The following is a 14,791-nucleotide window of genomic DNA, read 5'->3' as shown; positions in this document are numbered from 1 at the left end:
GTTGTTGTTTTTCCTCAATATTATTTTATGTTATACTTTCCATCTCCCTGGTTTTGTTTTTGAAAGTCTCAGCAAAATACTTACATTACCTTCACTCCAGGCCTTTTCAGAAATTGTTGAGGTGCTAAAGAACACATTTTTCAAATCTCCTTAGCTTTTGCTAACTGCATAAATTTTCTTCAATTTTCATTCCATAGTCTGTGTAACCCAAAACTCTCCCAAAGATTTTAAAATCCCCTGGAACCTTACATTTTCATGTTGATTACTGGTTTCTAACTTTGTCTTCTCAGTTTCTGGTTTCTCTTACCAGCCCGACCCTGTTTATTTATATTTTTATTTTATGTCCGCCCCCTCCATGATTGACCATCAGGAAAGATTTTGTGAGGATTGGAGGTTGGTGGTTGGTTATGAGGATACAATTTAAATGGGAAACTAACATCATAGAATCTAAAAATAACTGAATGTTGAAGATCTGTTTTTATTAAATGTAATGTAGCTATACCACCTCTGAAGTAATATTGCTGGCTACCTATGCCCCTTAGCTTCACACTGGGCTCCCAAGTTTTCAGGTTGTTATCCAACACTGGTTACTTTCAAAGCAAATTTTGGTGGCAATTGAAAGTCTTTGGCTTCAAAATAAAGATTGAGTTGCTCAATTTAGAGCCCCAGGGATGACTGAGGAAACAAAAAGGACTACATTCCTAACAATTGTAGGATCCTCAGGGGGGGATTCTTAAATATTTCATGGAGTTAGAAGGAAAGTAGAAGAGAGGAGGAAGCAGGAAATCCTCCTAACCTGGGCTTTAATGGGCTTCAGTATTGTAAGTGTGAAGGTGGGGGAGGATGTTATTCACACTCTAACTTTAAACTTGGAGCATTAAAATAGCAAGCACAAATAAAATGATATACAATCTAACAGAATTCATTGACATTTACACTTAAAATTAAGTAAATTAGTTCATGTAAATGACACATTGGTAATAATGATATTAAATGGTATGTAAATAAAAAATCATATTACCTCAAAACCAAGATTGGAAAGGAATGAATACACTCAAACTCAACTTGAATTATTTTATCAGTGGGAATAATAAGTGGTAAATTAAAAATTCTAAGAGAACTCATGGTAATGTAATGTAGAACAAGGAAAACAAACAAATCCTCTTTGTCTATAAAATATACAGGCAAATTGGCTTCTACAATTGGCAATTAATAAACTTTTTGCTTTGGTAAAAGCAATATCTGATTATCATAGAGAAATCCAAAGTTATAATCAAAAGTTAAAAATCACTCATAACCCATGATTTCTCAGTTAATTATTGTTAATACTTTTAACAATTTCTTCTCAGTCATTTCTCTTAGAGATTTTATTAACTTTATTATGTATTTTATCTAATATTATATTGCAATCATGCTAAAGAATAGAAACATTTTAAATTGGATTTAAATGTAATGTTATTGGCCAGGCACTGTGGCTCATGCCTTTAATCCCAGCACTTTGGGAAGCCAAGTCGGGTGAATCACTTGAGGCCAGGAGTTAGAGACCAGCCTGGGCAACATGGTGAAACCCCATCTCTACTAAAAATTACAAAAATTAAGTTGGGTGTGGTGGTACACGCCTGTAATCTTAGCTACTCTGGAGGCTGAGGCAGGCGAATCACCTGAAGCCAGGAGGTGGAGGTTGCAGTGAGTGGAGATCACACCACTGCACTCCAGCCTGGGTGACAGAGCGAGACTCCATCTCAAAAAAAAAAAGTAATTTTATTCCCATTTTGTGGATAAAATGTATCGACCTTTTCTTTATTTTGGCCACTGTGTCTGTATCTTAAAAAATTAATACAAGTTAAGCTATAATCAATATAACTGATAAATTTTTCCTAAAATCTGTTAATTTCTGTAAGTATAGACATTACTTAACACTGACATTACTTAACATATAGACATTAAGTTGTCTATACTTAAACAAATGAACAGATTTCAGGTAAAGTTTATCACAGTATCAATGGCTATAATTTTTTTAAAGTATAGGCTAACGATTTCTAGAATAGCGACCCTTTTTATACTCCCTGCTTGAGTGTATACAACTGTCTAAACTCTAAACAATCATAGTTTCAACAGTAATGACTTTTAGACATTTTTAAATATGGTAATTTGATAGCTAGGAGTGATCAAAGTTGTTTTTTCTTTTTTCATTTACAGTTCTTTAACTAGTTAGCAGTTTAAAACCCATTCATGGTAATGATAAGTAGAACCTTAGAATCTTAATGATAATTTTGTCCAGTCTCTAATATAAACATATCGTAATATGTTTCAATTCAAATTTGAAAATGCCTAATGATATTCATCTCATTACTTCCTATCATATGAGGATTACATGAAAGAATTAGATCTGGAGGTACACCCAATTAGTAAACCTCCACCATTAAGGAAAACATACCTTAGCAAAAGTGGAAACTTCCAAATTTTAAGACCAATATCAATGATTCCGGATACCTGCATGCAATGCCTATGTCCTTCCATGTGTAGATTCCATGTGACCTAAAAGTAGTCAAATAATAATACTCATATATAGAGATGGCATGAAGTTGAAAAACAATTAAGAATTTGTTACCTGATTTTAAAAAGGACTGTTAAAAAGGAATTAAGAACTTCAGTGTTGAATGATTTCATATGGACAATTCAAATATCTTTACTGATATTCTGCAGAATTATAGCTCAAAAGTGTTGAAGGAGAATTTAATCTCTCAATATTATAGAACAAGTGCAGATGCACTGAGATCAGGCAGTTCTAGGTTTAAACCCTATCAACTGCTCATATGACTTCAATTTCTATGAATCTTGGTTTGTTTTTCTAAAAATAGAGATAATATTATTTTCTGGACTGATGGTAGGATTTAAACAGATAACATACACAAATACCACAGTGCCTGGCTTATAGTAATTGCTGAATAAATGTTAGTTCTCTTTGCTCTCATTCTTCTCCTGTTCAGAAACACCAATTTTGTTTTTCAGATATCTTGTGAATAACTTTCCATCTTGTTGCCCTCCATACATACTCAATTGTATTCCCTGACAGTTCTTAACAAAGGGCTGGGTTGTCTCCTGAATCTCCCCAAGTGACCTCTTTTGTTATTTCTCCTGCTTAGAGTGATGGCCTGCCAATTTAGATTTCTCAACAAGTGTTCCCTACTAACTGTACCTCAAATTAATTGCATATGTATTTTAAGTTTGTTTGACACCTGTCTCTATCATTTTTAATCATCGTGAAATGTTGTCTTTTAACTCAAGGTCTATTTTCCTTAAATTCCAGCTCTTTGAGCACAAGGAGTCAACAAGCATTTCTACTGAGAACATTTTCTTTGTCATTCAATGAGTTCGGTGATTTTGGGGACAGATAGAAAGGCAAATGAATACAACTACCAACAAAATGAGGAGGTCAGATACAAAATTCATATAATATAAACAGTATAAGTGAGTTAAAAGGTAACAGGAAAATTCAAATAAAAAATTATGCTCATACTGGTTGTTTTCACTTGGCACAAACCTACAAATAGGTTTAAGTTGGAAAAAGCTCATTCTCAGTTAGAAAAAGTTCTCAATCGAGTAAAGCACACACAATGGCTAACTGGCATTTTTTTTTTTCTTTATTGAGCTCAACCTTTATATGTATGTGTATATATATATGTATATATATATACACACATATGCATATATGTAAATATGTGTGTGTGTGTGTATATATATATATGTGTGTGTGTGTGTAGTCTACAAAGAAATAGATTGTTTAGACTTCCCGTGAATCATACTACTTTGCACACTGAGTCATTGTGGCAGAAACAGACAAAGAAAATGGTAGCTTGTTTTTTTTTTTTTTTTTTTTTTTTGAGACAGTCTTGCTCTGTCACCCAGGCTGGAGTGCAGTGGCACGATCTCGGCTAACTGCTGCCTCTGCCTCCTGGGTTCCAGCGATTCTCCTGCCTCAGCCTCCCAGGTAGCTAGGATTACAGGCATGCATCACTATGCCCGGCTAATTTTTGTATTTTTAGTAGAGACGGGGTTTCGCCATGTTGGCCAGGCTGGTCTTGAACTCCTGACCTCAGGTGATCTGCCCACCTTGGCCTCCCAAAGTGCTAGGATTACAGGCGTGAACCACTATGCCCGGCTGGTAGGTTGTGATTTTTTAAGGGTAAAAAGTAAATCTTTTCTTCATGATGAATGTATATTATAGTTAGTTTATGATGCTCAAAGTCTTGAGAGAACAAAGTGTGGGCAGTGGGAATTTCAGAACCACTTGATAATCAATGTTGCAGATGCCCTGTTTCTTATGAAAAAGTAACTGGCATTATCACTGTAATTTGGGTAAAGTTTGTAAAGGGAAAGCTTGAGTATAAAAATAAATATGGACTGGGCACGGTGGCTCATGCCTGTAATCCCAGCACTTTGGGAGGCCGAGGCGGGCAGATCATGAGGTCAGGAGATCGAGACCATCCTGGCCAACATGGTGAAATCCCGTCTCTACTAAAAATACAAAAATTAGCTGGGCATGGTGGCCCGTGCCTGTAATCCCAGCTACTTGGGAAGCTGAGGCAGGAGGATCACTTGAACCCGGGAGGCAGAGGTTGCAGCGAGCCGAGATCACGCCACTGCACTCCAGCCTGGCGATGTAACAAGACTCCGTCTAAAAATAAATAAATAAATCTGAAGGATTGGTATTTTGTCTTGCACATAGACCCTCTAGTTAAAGTGACACAGAAACAAGAGGAGTTCATTTTGTGTATATAATTTTTGGAATTGCAAAGTTGCCCCAATAAATAAGACTAAGACATGGAACATCCTTCAAATCTCAGATGACTTAGAATGCAAGCTAAAATCAATTTCATGTGTTTAAACTAGAAATTATTTCATAAAAATAAATATCATTCCAGAATGTTCTAAGAATCTTTAGTTTAAACTCACAAGTCCTATCTTGTTTTAAAATAAACCCACTCCAATAAAAATATGCAGACAAAATTTGTAAGAAGAGTGTATTCATTTTCTATTGCTGCCACAAACTTAGAGACTGAAAACAGCACAAATGTATCTTTCAGCTCTGTAGGTTGAAAGTCTGACATTGGTTGCACTATGCTAAACTCTAGGTGTCATCAGGGCTGCATTTCTTCCTGGTGTCGCTAAGGGAGAATCTATTTTCTTGTTCATTCAGGTTGTTGGCAGAATTCAGTTCCAGGCAGTTTTAGAAGAGAGGTCTCCTTTCCCTTGGTGGTTTTCAGCTGAGGGTCATTCTTAGCTTCTAGAGGCTGTCCACATTCCTTGGCACATAGCCCATACCATGGTCTGAATGTTTATGTCTCCCCAAAATTTACATATTGAAATCCTAACCTTCAAGGTGATGGTGTTAGGAGGTAGGGCCCTTGTGAGGTAACTGATTAGATCACAAGGGCAGAGGCATCATGAATGAGATTAGTGCCCTTATAAAAGAGCCCCAAAGAAGCTCCTTGCCCCTTCTGACATGTGAGGACACTTCAACAAAGTGCCATCTATGAGCCAGACAGTGAGTCCAGACACTGAATTTGCTAGGACTTTGATCTTGGACTTCCTAGCCTCCACAACTGTGATAAATTTCTATTGTTTATAATAATTCAGTTTATGGTATTTTGTTATAGCAGCCTGAACAGACTAAGACTGCCTCCTTTCTTCATCTTCAAAGACAGAAACAGTAAGTGGAGTCTTCCACACGTTTCAAATCACCTCTACCTCTTCTTCCATCACCCAGTCTCTCCGACCCACATCAACAATTCTACCCTCCTCTTCCACTATTAAGAACTCATGTGATTTTATTGGGCCCATTTGAATAATTAAGAATAACTTCCCATCTCAAATTCCTTAACTTTAATTATGTCTTCAAAGTTTCTTTTTGCCAATTAAGACAACATATTTACAGGTTTTCTTGATTTGGGCATAGACTTTTTTTAAGGGGGAGGGTTATTCTTCCTGCCTACCACAGGGAGATAAAAAGATGGCTGATGTTCTCCTTCTGGTTTTCCTAAAATGCTAGGTGGTTAATTCAGAAGCTGTATTGTTCACATGATTGGGGGGATAAGTAACTGTTTAAAAATGACCTAAATGTCTTGTTCACAGTGGTTGACATGCTGTAAACTTTTTATATTATATCAGCTTTTCTAGTGTTTATATTCTCAAAACCATAGTTGAATTAATATTTGTGTATGGCAGGTGAAGGCAGTAGATGGCTCTGCCTTTCCTAAAACTCTCAAGATTTTGCTTTACTTTTTGTGAAATTATCTATATACAGCAAAATGAAAAACAAATGCTTTAGTAGATATAAATGATCTATGAGTGTGTTTGTGTATGTATGTGCACAGAATGGGTATGGAGGCCAACATAATTTGGTAATTTTAGGTTCAGACATAATATTAATTGGGTTAAGAATCTAAGTTTGTTTTAAAATGTTAAAAATAACTCCATTTCTGAACACATGGCAATAGCTGACAAGCAAATTACATATCTGACTACATTTGCCTGCAAGATAAAGCTTGACTTATAGAGAGGACTGAGTAAGATTTTGTCTACATTTAAATTAGCAATGAGTATATATATTGAAATAGAACTAGACAACAGCTTATTTGTTTTTCAAATCTGTCTACTAGAATTGGTTGCTAAATAGTAATACATTATCCGTTGTTAAGCCTGTCAAGAAAATTAGTTATTATATGTGTGTTGATAGGCATTCATTGGAGAAAATTTGTGTTTCCTCTTATACAGTGTTTATTAAAATATAAAAAATATTAGACAGTTGTGGCTAGTCATGTCAAGAAAATCTGTAGCTGAAAAGAAAGTAATTGCACTAGTTTAAAAAATTTTTTTCCAGTGCTTAAATCTTAACAGGAATTTTGCAAAATGACATCTGAAATGAATCTTATTTCAACATATAATGGTTTAGTAAAAATGGGATAGAATGTTACTCTTGAAGTACTGGTGAGTAAAAGTAGACTGCAATTATACTATGTTCCCCTATGCCCTTCCCCAAATCTAAATTTCATGGGTACTTTCCCTGAATCATCAAAAAAAAAAAAAAAAAGTGACAGGAATCCTCCAAATGTATTTTTTTCTTGAATACGAGTAGTATACTATTTAGATTTCTAGACAATTACATGTTAATGTTAGTTAGTCAAGTGGCTCATTTTGGACCATTTGCTTAGTGACAGAAAACCACTGACAGAAAAAATTAATCTTGCTATATAGGTTAGCTTCAAATACAATTGGTCTTCAGACTGATAGACTAACTTTAGCATCTTTTGTAGAATGATAAAAAAAGAGAAAAGAAAAATATCAAAAATACTGACCTTTAATTTTCTTCTTGTCAAATAAAGAAAAATAGAGAAGAAAATGTTGTACCTAATGTACAATGCATATTAGAAATTATTATATAAAAATTACATCAGAATTATTTCCTTTCATAGAGTCTCTAAACTAGTACATTTTCATGGCTTCTCTGAAAATTCCAGTTCAAGAAGCTCCTTATAATTGGAATACAAATAGAAAAGCTATTGATAGCTCATGCTTAGAGACATATTACCTGGAGAAACATTCTGTGTGCCTTAGCTGAGGCTGTACCACTGGTTTGAGATCTTTGAATTCCTTTCTACTTTTTAAAAATACTGAACTCAAAGAACATTTAAATTTAATACAAACCATAGTATAAATAGTAAAATATGTGGCTCATGTACCTACTATAGTACTCAGGACTATTAGTATTTAGTTTTAGTTAACTGTGACATAACATAGAGGAGTGTGATTTTTTTTTCATTCAGGTAATGAAATATTTCTTCAGTTTTACTTTGCCTTTAATCAGCATTGGTATCTGTCAAAGTATAATTACTGGTGACATGTAATGGGAAATGTATTGGTAAAACAGATTTCAAATGAGACAATAAGAGATATTAAGAGAGCGATGTCAGAAAGATGGCTGACTAGAGGTGCTCGGTGCTTGGTGCTTGTCACCCACCACACAAAAGGACAAAAACGACAAATAAACAACTATAGTTTGACAAGAGTATTTGAATGAGAATGCTAAAGTACAGCAGGAGACTGGCAGAAATTCTGTGGAACACAGACACTCAAGATTGCCACATAAAGAAAGGAGTGAGACATCTTGACATTGCCATGCCACCTCTCCAGTTAGGATCAGCTCAGAACCAGGAGGGACTTTCCCATGTCGGGAGAAAGTAAACAGAAGGCCCTCAGCACTCCTCATCAATGCTGTAGACACCTGTAGGTTTTGCTGCTGGAGAATCTTGCAGTTTTCTCAGGCTCTCCATCCAGTTTTGGGAGCTTTCAGGAGTTCACACAGCTGGATTGCTCCAGAAAAGGAGCTAACATCATGCCCTTTTCCCCACATTACCCAAACCCCTACTGCAAGATGCCATCCCTAAACCAGAGTCAGTAATAAAATATGTCCTTTCCGGGGACCAGTAGCTACTGCATCTTTCCATCTTTGAGGCTCCACCTCCATTACGCCATGCTTGCACACAATAGCGCAGCATTACCCAGCTGAGCTGTTACAGCTTTCTACTCCTAGGAAAAAGCTGCCTAGGAGGTACAGTACCTTCCTTACTTCAGGGGCTATAGCACCCCAACCCAACCTACTTGAAATCTATATCCAGTGGAACAACCATGACCCCATCACTCCACCCTCAGGGGAGCAGCGACTGAGCTGAGCTGCTTGCCAGCCATCCTTGCACTTCCTTTAAGCATGGATCAGCTTGGAACTTTGCCTTCAGGAAAGCAGATCTCAATCCAAGCTGCCAGTCAACCAGTTTCATGTTTTTCCAGAATATGGACCAGCTTCGTACCCTACCTTAAGGGGAACAACTCCTGAGCAGAGCCATCAGATATCCAGCCCCATGCTACCCCACAGCATGGACCAGCCCACTGTCCAGCCCCTAGTGAAGCAAAGCCCAAGTCACAAGTTGACCAGCCCTAAATATCCCCAAAACACAGACTATACCAGTGCCCCACTATCAAGGAGCAGTAACTGAGTAGGTAGACCAGCCACAAACACTGTTACAGCATGAACCACTGAGGCACACTGAGGCACACTCAGGCATCACTGATGTTGCCTATAGCTGAAGAAACTGGATGGAGACCACATTACGGCATTCACCCAGAAGCAAATCCAAAATACCCTGCTCAACCAACACCCTACAACACATGGGCAGGTGAGTCTTTCCCCATGAAAGACACTGTATGAGACTGGAAGTGGTTACTGTTCCATCAGATGCACAGATATCAACACAGTGATACAGGAAACATAAAAAAGAAAGCGAATAGGACACTACTAAAGAAACACAATACATTTCCTATAATTGACCCTCCAAAAATAAACATTTATGAGTTTCCTAAAAAGGAATTCAAAATAATGACCCAAGGAAATTTACGATAAAAGATAATACAGACAGACAAACTAAATTAGATGAACAGTTTGGGATCCAAAAGAGAAATTCAACAAAGAGACAGCTATGACCAAAAAAGAAACAAACAGGAATACTAGAGCTAAAGAATTCAATGAATGAACTAAAATATACAATTGAGACTTTCAAGAGCAGACTGTATCAAGCAAAATAATGAGTTTCTGAACTTGAAGACAAGTCTTTTCAAATAAGCCAGTCAGCAAGAAAGAAAAAAAAACAATCAAAAGGAGCAAATAAAGCCTACAGGATGTGTGGAACGTTATTAAGCAATCAAATATTTGCATCTTTGGAGTTTAAAGGGAGAAGAGATGAAGAAGTGCACAGAAAGACTATTTAACAAAACAATACCTAAAAACTACCCAAGATTTGGGAGAGATATGGACATCCAGATTCACGAAGCTCAAAAGATTTGAAATAAATTCAAGTCAAAGAAGCCCTCTCCAAGGCATATTATAATAACGTTGTCAAAAGTCAAAGAAAAAATTCTAAAAAACAGCAAGAGTAAAGTGTCAAGTCACATATAAGAAAATTCCCCTTAGACTATCAGCAGATTTCTCAGCAGAAACCTTGCAGGCCAGGAAAGAATGGGATGCTATATTAAAGGTACTGGGGAAAAAAAAATTGCCTGGCTAGCATGGTATGCCCAACAAAGCTTTCCTTCAGAAATGAAGGAAAAATAGTCATCACTACTAAATAAGCCTTACAAAAAATGCTAAATGGAATGTCAAAAGTGGGAGCAAAAAGACAATAATTACTATCACGCAAACATATGAAAGTATACACCTCACTTTTATGGGTAAATTCATTGTAAAATTCAGAATACTTCATTACTCGAATGCTGATATACAATCTTTCAGATGTCTAGTATGATAATTAAAAGTCAAAATGGTCAACAACCACTAAAGAAAATTAACGAATATGATACATCACATTACAATAATCAAAGACAAGAACCTTATGATTATTTCAATAGGCACAGAAAAAGCATTTGACTAAATTCCATATCCCTTCATGATAAAAACTCTCAACAAATTAGGTATAAAAGGAATGTATGTCAACACAATGAAGGTCATATACAACAACAGACAACCAACATTGCACTAAACAGGGAAAATTTGAAAGCTTTCTCTCTAAGATATGGAACAAGACAAAATGTCCGCTTTTATCACTATTATTCAGCATGCCTCTGGAAGTCCTAGCCAGTGCACTTAGGAATGAGAAATAAATAAAGACAATTCAAATTGGAAAGCAAGAAGTAGAATTGCCTTGTTTGCAGTTGGCATAATCTTATATATAGAAAATCCTAAAGACTGTACAGAAAACAACTGTTAGACTTAATAAACTCAGTAAGTTGCAGAATAGAAGATAAACATACAAAAATCAATAGCATTTCTATAAGCCAATAGCAAACTATCTGAAAAAAATCAAGAAAGGAATCCAATTTACAATAGCTACAAAAAATAAGATTCTTAGTAATAAATTTAACCAAGGAAGTGAAAGATCTTTACAATGAAAAGTATAAAGCATTGATGCCAGAAATGTAAGAGAACACAAATAAATAGAAAGATATTACATGTTCATGGAATAGAAGAACTAATATTGTTAAAATGTCCAAATACCCAAAGCAATATACAGATTTAATGCAATCCCTATGAAAATAACTATGACATTCCTCACAGAAATAAAAAAAAAAAATCCTGAAATGTGCGTGGAACCATAAAATACCCTGAATAGCCAAAGCAATCTTAAGCAAGAACAAAGCTTAGAGGTATCACACCATCTAGCTTCAAAATATACTACAAAGCTATAGTAACATAATAGTATGGCACTGCTTTAAAAACAGACATATAGATGAATGGAACGAAATGGAGAACACAGCAATAAATTAACATATTTATATCTAAATGATTCTTTAAAAAAGGCACCAAGAACTCACATTGGTGAAAGAAGGGTCTCTTCAATAAATGGTCCTGGTAAAGCTGAATATTCACATGCAGGAGAATGAAACTAGATCCTTATTTCTCACTGTATACAGAAATCAACTCAAGTGAGCTAAATGCTGAAATTTAAGGTCTAAAACTACAAAACTACTAGAAGACAACATAGAGGAAATGCTTCACAACATTGGTCTGGGAAGGATATTTTTTCAATAAGACCTCAATAACACCAGCAACAAAAGCAAAAACAGACAAATAGGATTACATCAAACTAAAAAGGTTCTGCACAGCATAGGAAGCAATCAACAAAGTGAAGAGATAATGTACAAAAATAAAGGACAGTATTTGCAAACTATGCATTTGACAATGGGTTAATATACAGAATATATAAGGAACACAAATAACTCAATAGCAATAAAACTCCCAAATAATTCAATTAAAAATATATAAAGGGGTGGACTGCTGAATGCTCAAAATTTATGGCTGGAGTAGTAAAAAGCTTATTGAAGAAAAAAAAAAGTTCACCTTGTAGGAATTTCAACTGAAGATTCCCAGCAGGGGAATCTCTCACAAGTTCACATTAATTAAAACACCCTATGAGAAAATATGCCAACTTAGTATATCTGCCAAAAGCCAAACTAGAAAACATATGCCCTTTCCCTTTTAATCCCTTCTATTTGTGAGCCTAAACCTAAAAGGTTCAGCAAATATATCCTGTGAGTTAAGGGAAAAGAAGTGCTCTGTGTAGCTTAAAAAAAGAAAGGAATGAACAAAAAGGATAAAGGGACATATATTGCAATGTGGCTTTTTTTTTTTTGAGACTGATACAAGCAGAAAAGGGGAAAAGTTTTAATTCTCAGTGAAGTTTGGGTTTTGACTATGAAGCTAGATCTATCAACAAATTTGGAAAGTTTTTGACTATGATTTTTTCAAATATTCTTTCTGCCCCTTTATATCTTCCTCTTTTACCCTTTTTTAGAATTTCATAATGCATATGTTGGTCCACTTGACAGTGTTCCACAGGTTCCTTAGCCTTTGTACACTTTTCTTCATTTCTTTTTTCATTTCACTCTACAGACTGCATAATTTCAATTAACCTATCTTCAAGTTTGCTGATTCTGTCTTATTTCTACTCACATCTACTTTTGAGTGCCTCTAGTGTTTTTTCATTGTAGCTATTGAGCTTTTCAGTTCTACAATTTGTTTGCTTATTTTTTAAAAATTTCTATCTTCTAATTGCTAATCTCATATTGTTCATACGTTATTCTCCGAAGTTTCATTACATGTTTGTCCATGTTTTCCTTTAAGACTTTGAATATATTTAAGACATTTTAAAAGTCTTTGTCTAATAAGTCCAATTTCTGTGCTTACTCAGAGATGGTTTCTGTTAATTCATTTTGTTTCTTTGTATGGGTCATGTTTTTCATTTTCTTTGTATGCTTTGTTATTTTCTTGTTGAAAATGGGCACTTAAGTATTATAATGTGATAACTGTGGAATCAAATTCCCCTCCTTTCCAGGGTTTATTGTTTTGATGTTATTATTGTTGAAGGCTATAATACTCAACTATTTCAGGGACCAGTGTATGCATCCATGTGTTCCTTGTCATAAGTCATCACCGAAGTCTCTGTTCAGCTAGAGTTTTGACAGAGATTTTCTTGAATATAAGTTTATAAAAATGACAACAAAATACACACACACACATACACACCCCACCACCACCACCAACAACAACAAACAATATTACCCTCCCAGTATTTGCAGATTGTCCCTGTGCTGGTGCTCTTCCTTAACACATATCCAGGATTGCAATGAGCCTAGGCCTCAGCCTGAGGTGAAAGTTTGGAGACTTTTCAGTTGTTTTCTGAACATGCCTTATGCTAAACATATACAGGGCTTTCTTTTTCTAATGATAACTTGACAAAAATCGCATATATTTATGGTGTACAATATGTTTTGTCATATGTATACATTGTGGAATGACTAAATGAAACTAATTAATATATCCACTACCTCACATACTTATCCTTCGTTTTTGTGGTGAGAACACCAAATATCTTAGCAATTTTCCAGCATACAGTATATTGTTATTAATTGTAGTCACCATGCTGTACCATGGGTCTCTTGAACTTCCTACTATCTAACTAAAATTTTGTATCCTTTGACCAATATCTCTCTCCAATCTCCCCAAGTCCCAGGTCTGGTAATCACCACTCTATTGTTTCCTTCTATGAATTCAACATTTTTAGATTCCATATATAAGATCATACAGTATTTGTTTTTCTGTGTCTGGCTTATATAACTTAGCATAATGTCTCCAGGTTAATATACGTTGTTGCAAATGACAGGATTTCCATCTTTTTTAAAGTAAATAGTATTACTTTATGTAAATACACCACATTTTCTTTATGCATTCATATATACACAGACACTTAGGTTGATTCTATATCTTGGCTATTATGAATAATGCTGCATTATACATAGGGTAGCGGGGATCTCTTTAAGATCCTGACTTCAAATCCTTTGGATATATACCCAGTAGTAGAATTACTGAATCACATTATTTGTATGATCCTTCCTACATTATTATATCTTATTCATTTTAACAGTGGAGATATCTTAAAAATATTATAACCAAACTAAATAATAAGAAAAATTGTAATTTCACCAATGAAAGTAATCATGCCAATTATAAAATTTTTAATTTAATTGATTAAAACTCCTTTTGACATTTAGGATGAAATTCAGCAAAATGCTTGGTACTGGTGGAGATACAGATAGCACAGGGGCTTGTGGTAGCCACCTCTGGAGTGTGAATTTTTTTATAAAACACCAGATAGACCATCCTGGACTGTGGATTTTCCATTAGAAGTGACCGTCCATAGAATTGAAGCTTGAAATAATTCGTAAATGCCTCATATGATACAGTCTATGATAAAGTAGTTTACAGAAAATTATATATAGACATTAGAATAGCATGGAAGGTATCATGTAGGAATAATGTGAAGTCAAAAATCACTGCATTACAGTAGAAAAAAGAGGGCTCTCACACCACTGCAAATAGAGTTACTTACCATCACCTCCTTGGCCAAGAAAAAAAACAAAAGGCAGAGATCAAGTTACTTTACTGTCTAGTCCATTATTAGGGGTAGATAAACTGCTTATAAAAATCCTTGGGTTCTGGTAAATTGTGTTGCTTAATTGAAAACATACAATGGAACTGGTTTTTGCTAGCTTTGAAAATGGAGAGTAGTTAACTTTTATTTATCCTTCAAATAATTATTCTGTGAAGTGCTCCACATAATAAAGTACAGATGATCTATTTTGGTCACCTAAGTTTTAATTGGTCAGAACCATTATCAGATTTATG

General features: G+C 35.2%; 1 long non-coding RNA gene across 1 annotated transcript in view; it reads right to left on the bottom strand.

Annotated features, from left to right (window-relative positions):
- The window catches only part of LOC105373153 (uncharacterized), a 350,749-nt gene that overhangs the window by 220,962 nt on the left and 114,996 nt on the right, over positions 1 to 14,791 (bottom strand). The window contains exon 2 of the long non-coding RNA XR_950542.4: positions 2,438 to 2,538. This is a non-coding gene — a long non-coding RNA (uncharacterized LOC105373153). The remainder of the gene's footprint in view (positions 1 to 2,437; positions 2,539 to 14,791) is intronic.

The sequence above is a fragment of the Homo sapiens genome, chromosome X (assembly GCF_000001405.40).
Source record: "Homo sapiens chromosome X, GRCh38.p14 Primary Assembly".
Lineage (NCBI taxonomy): Eukaryota > Metazoa > Chordata > Mammalia > Primates > Hominidae > Homo > Homo sapiens.
The sequence above is the reverse complement of the archived record's forward strand: the minus strand, read 5'-3'. Positions and strand labels throughout refer to the sequence as shown.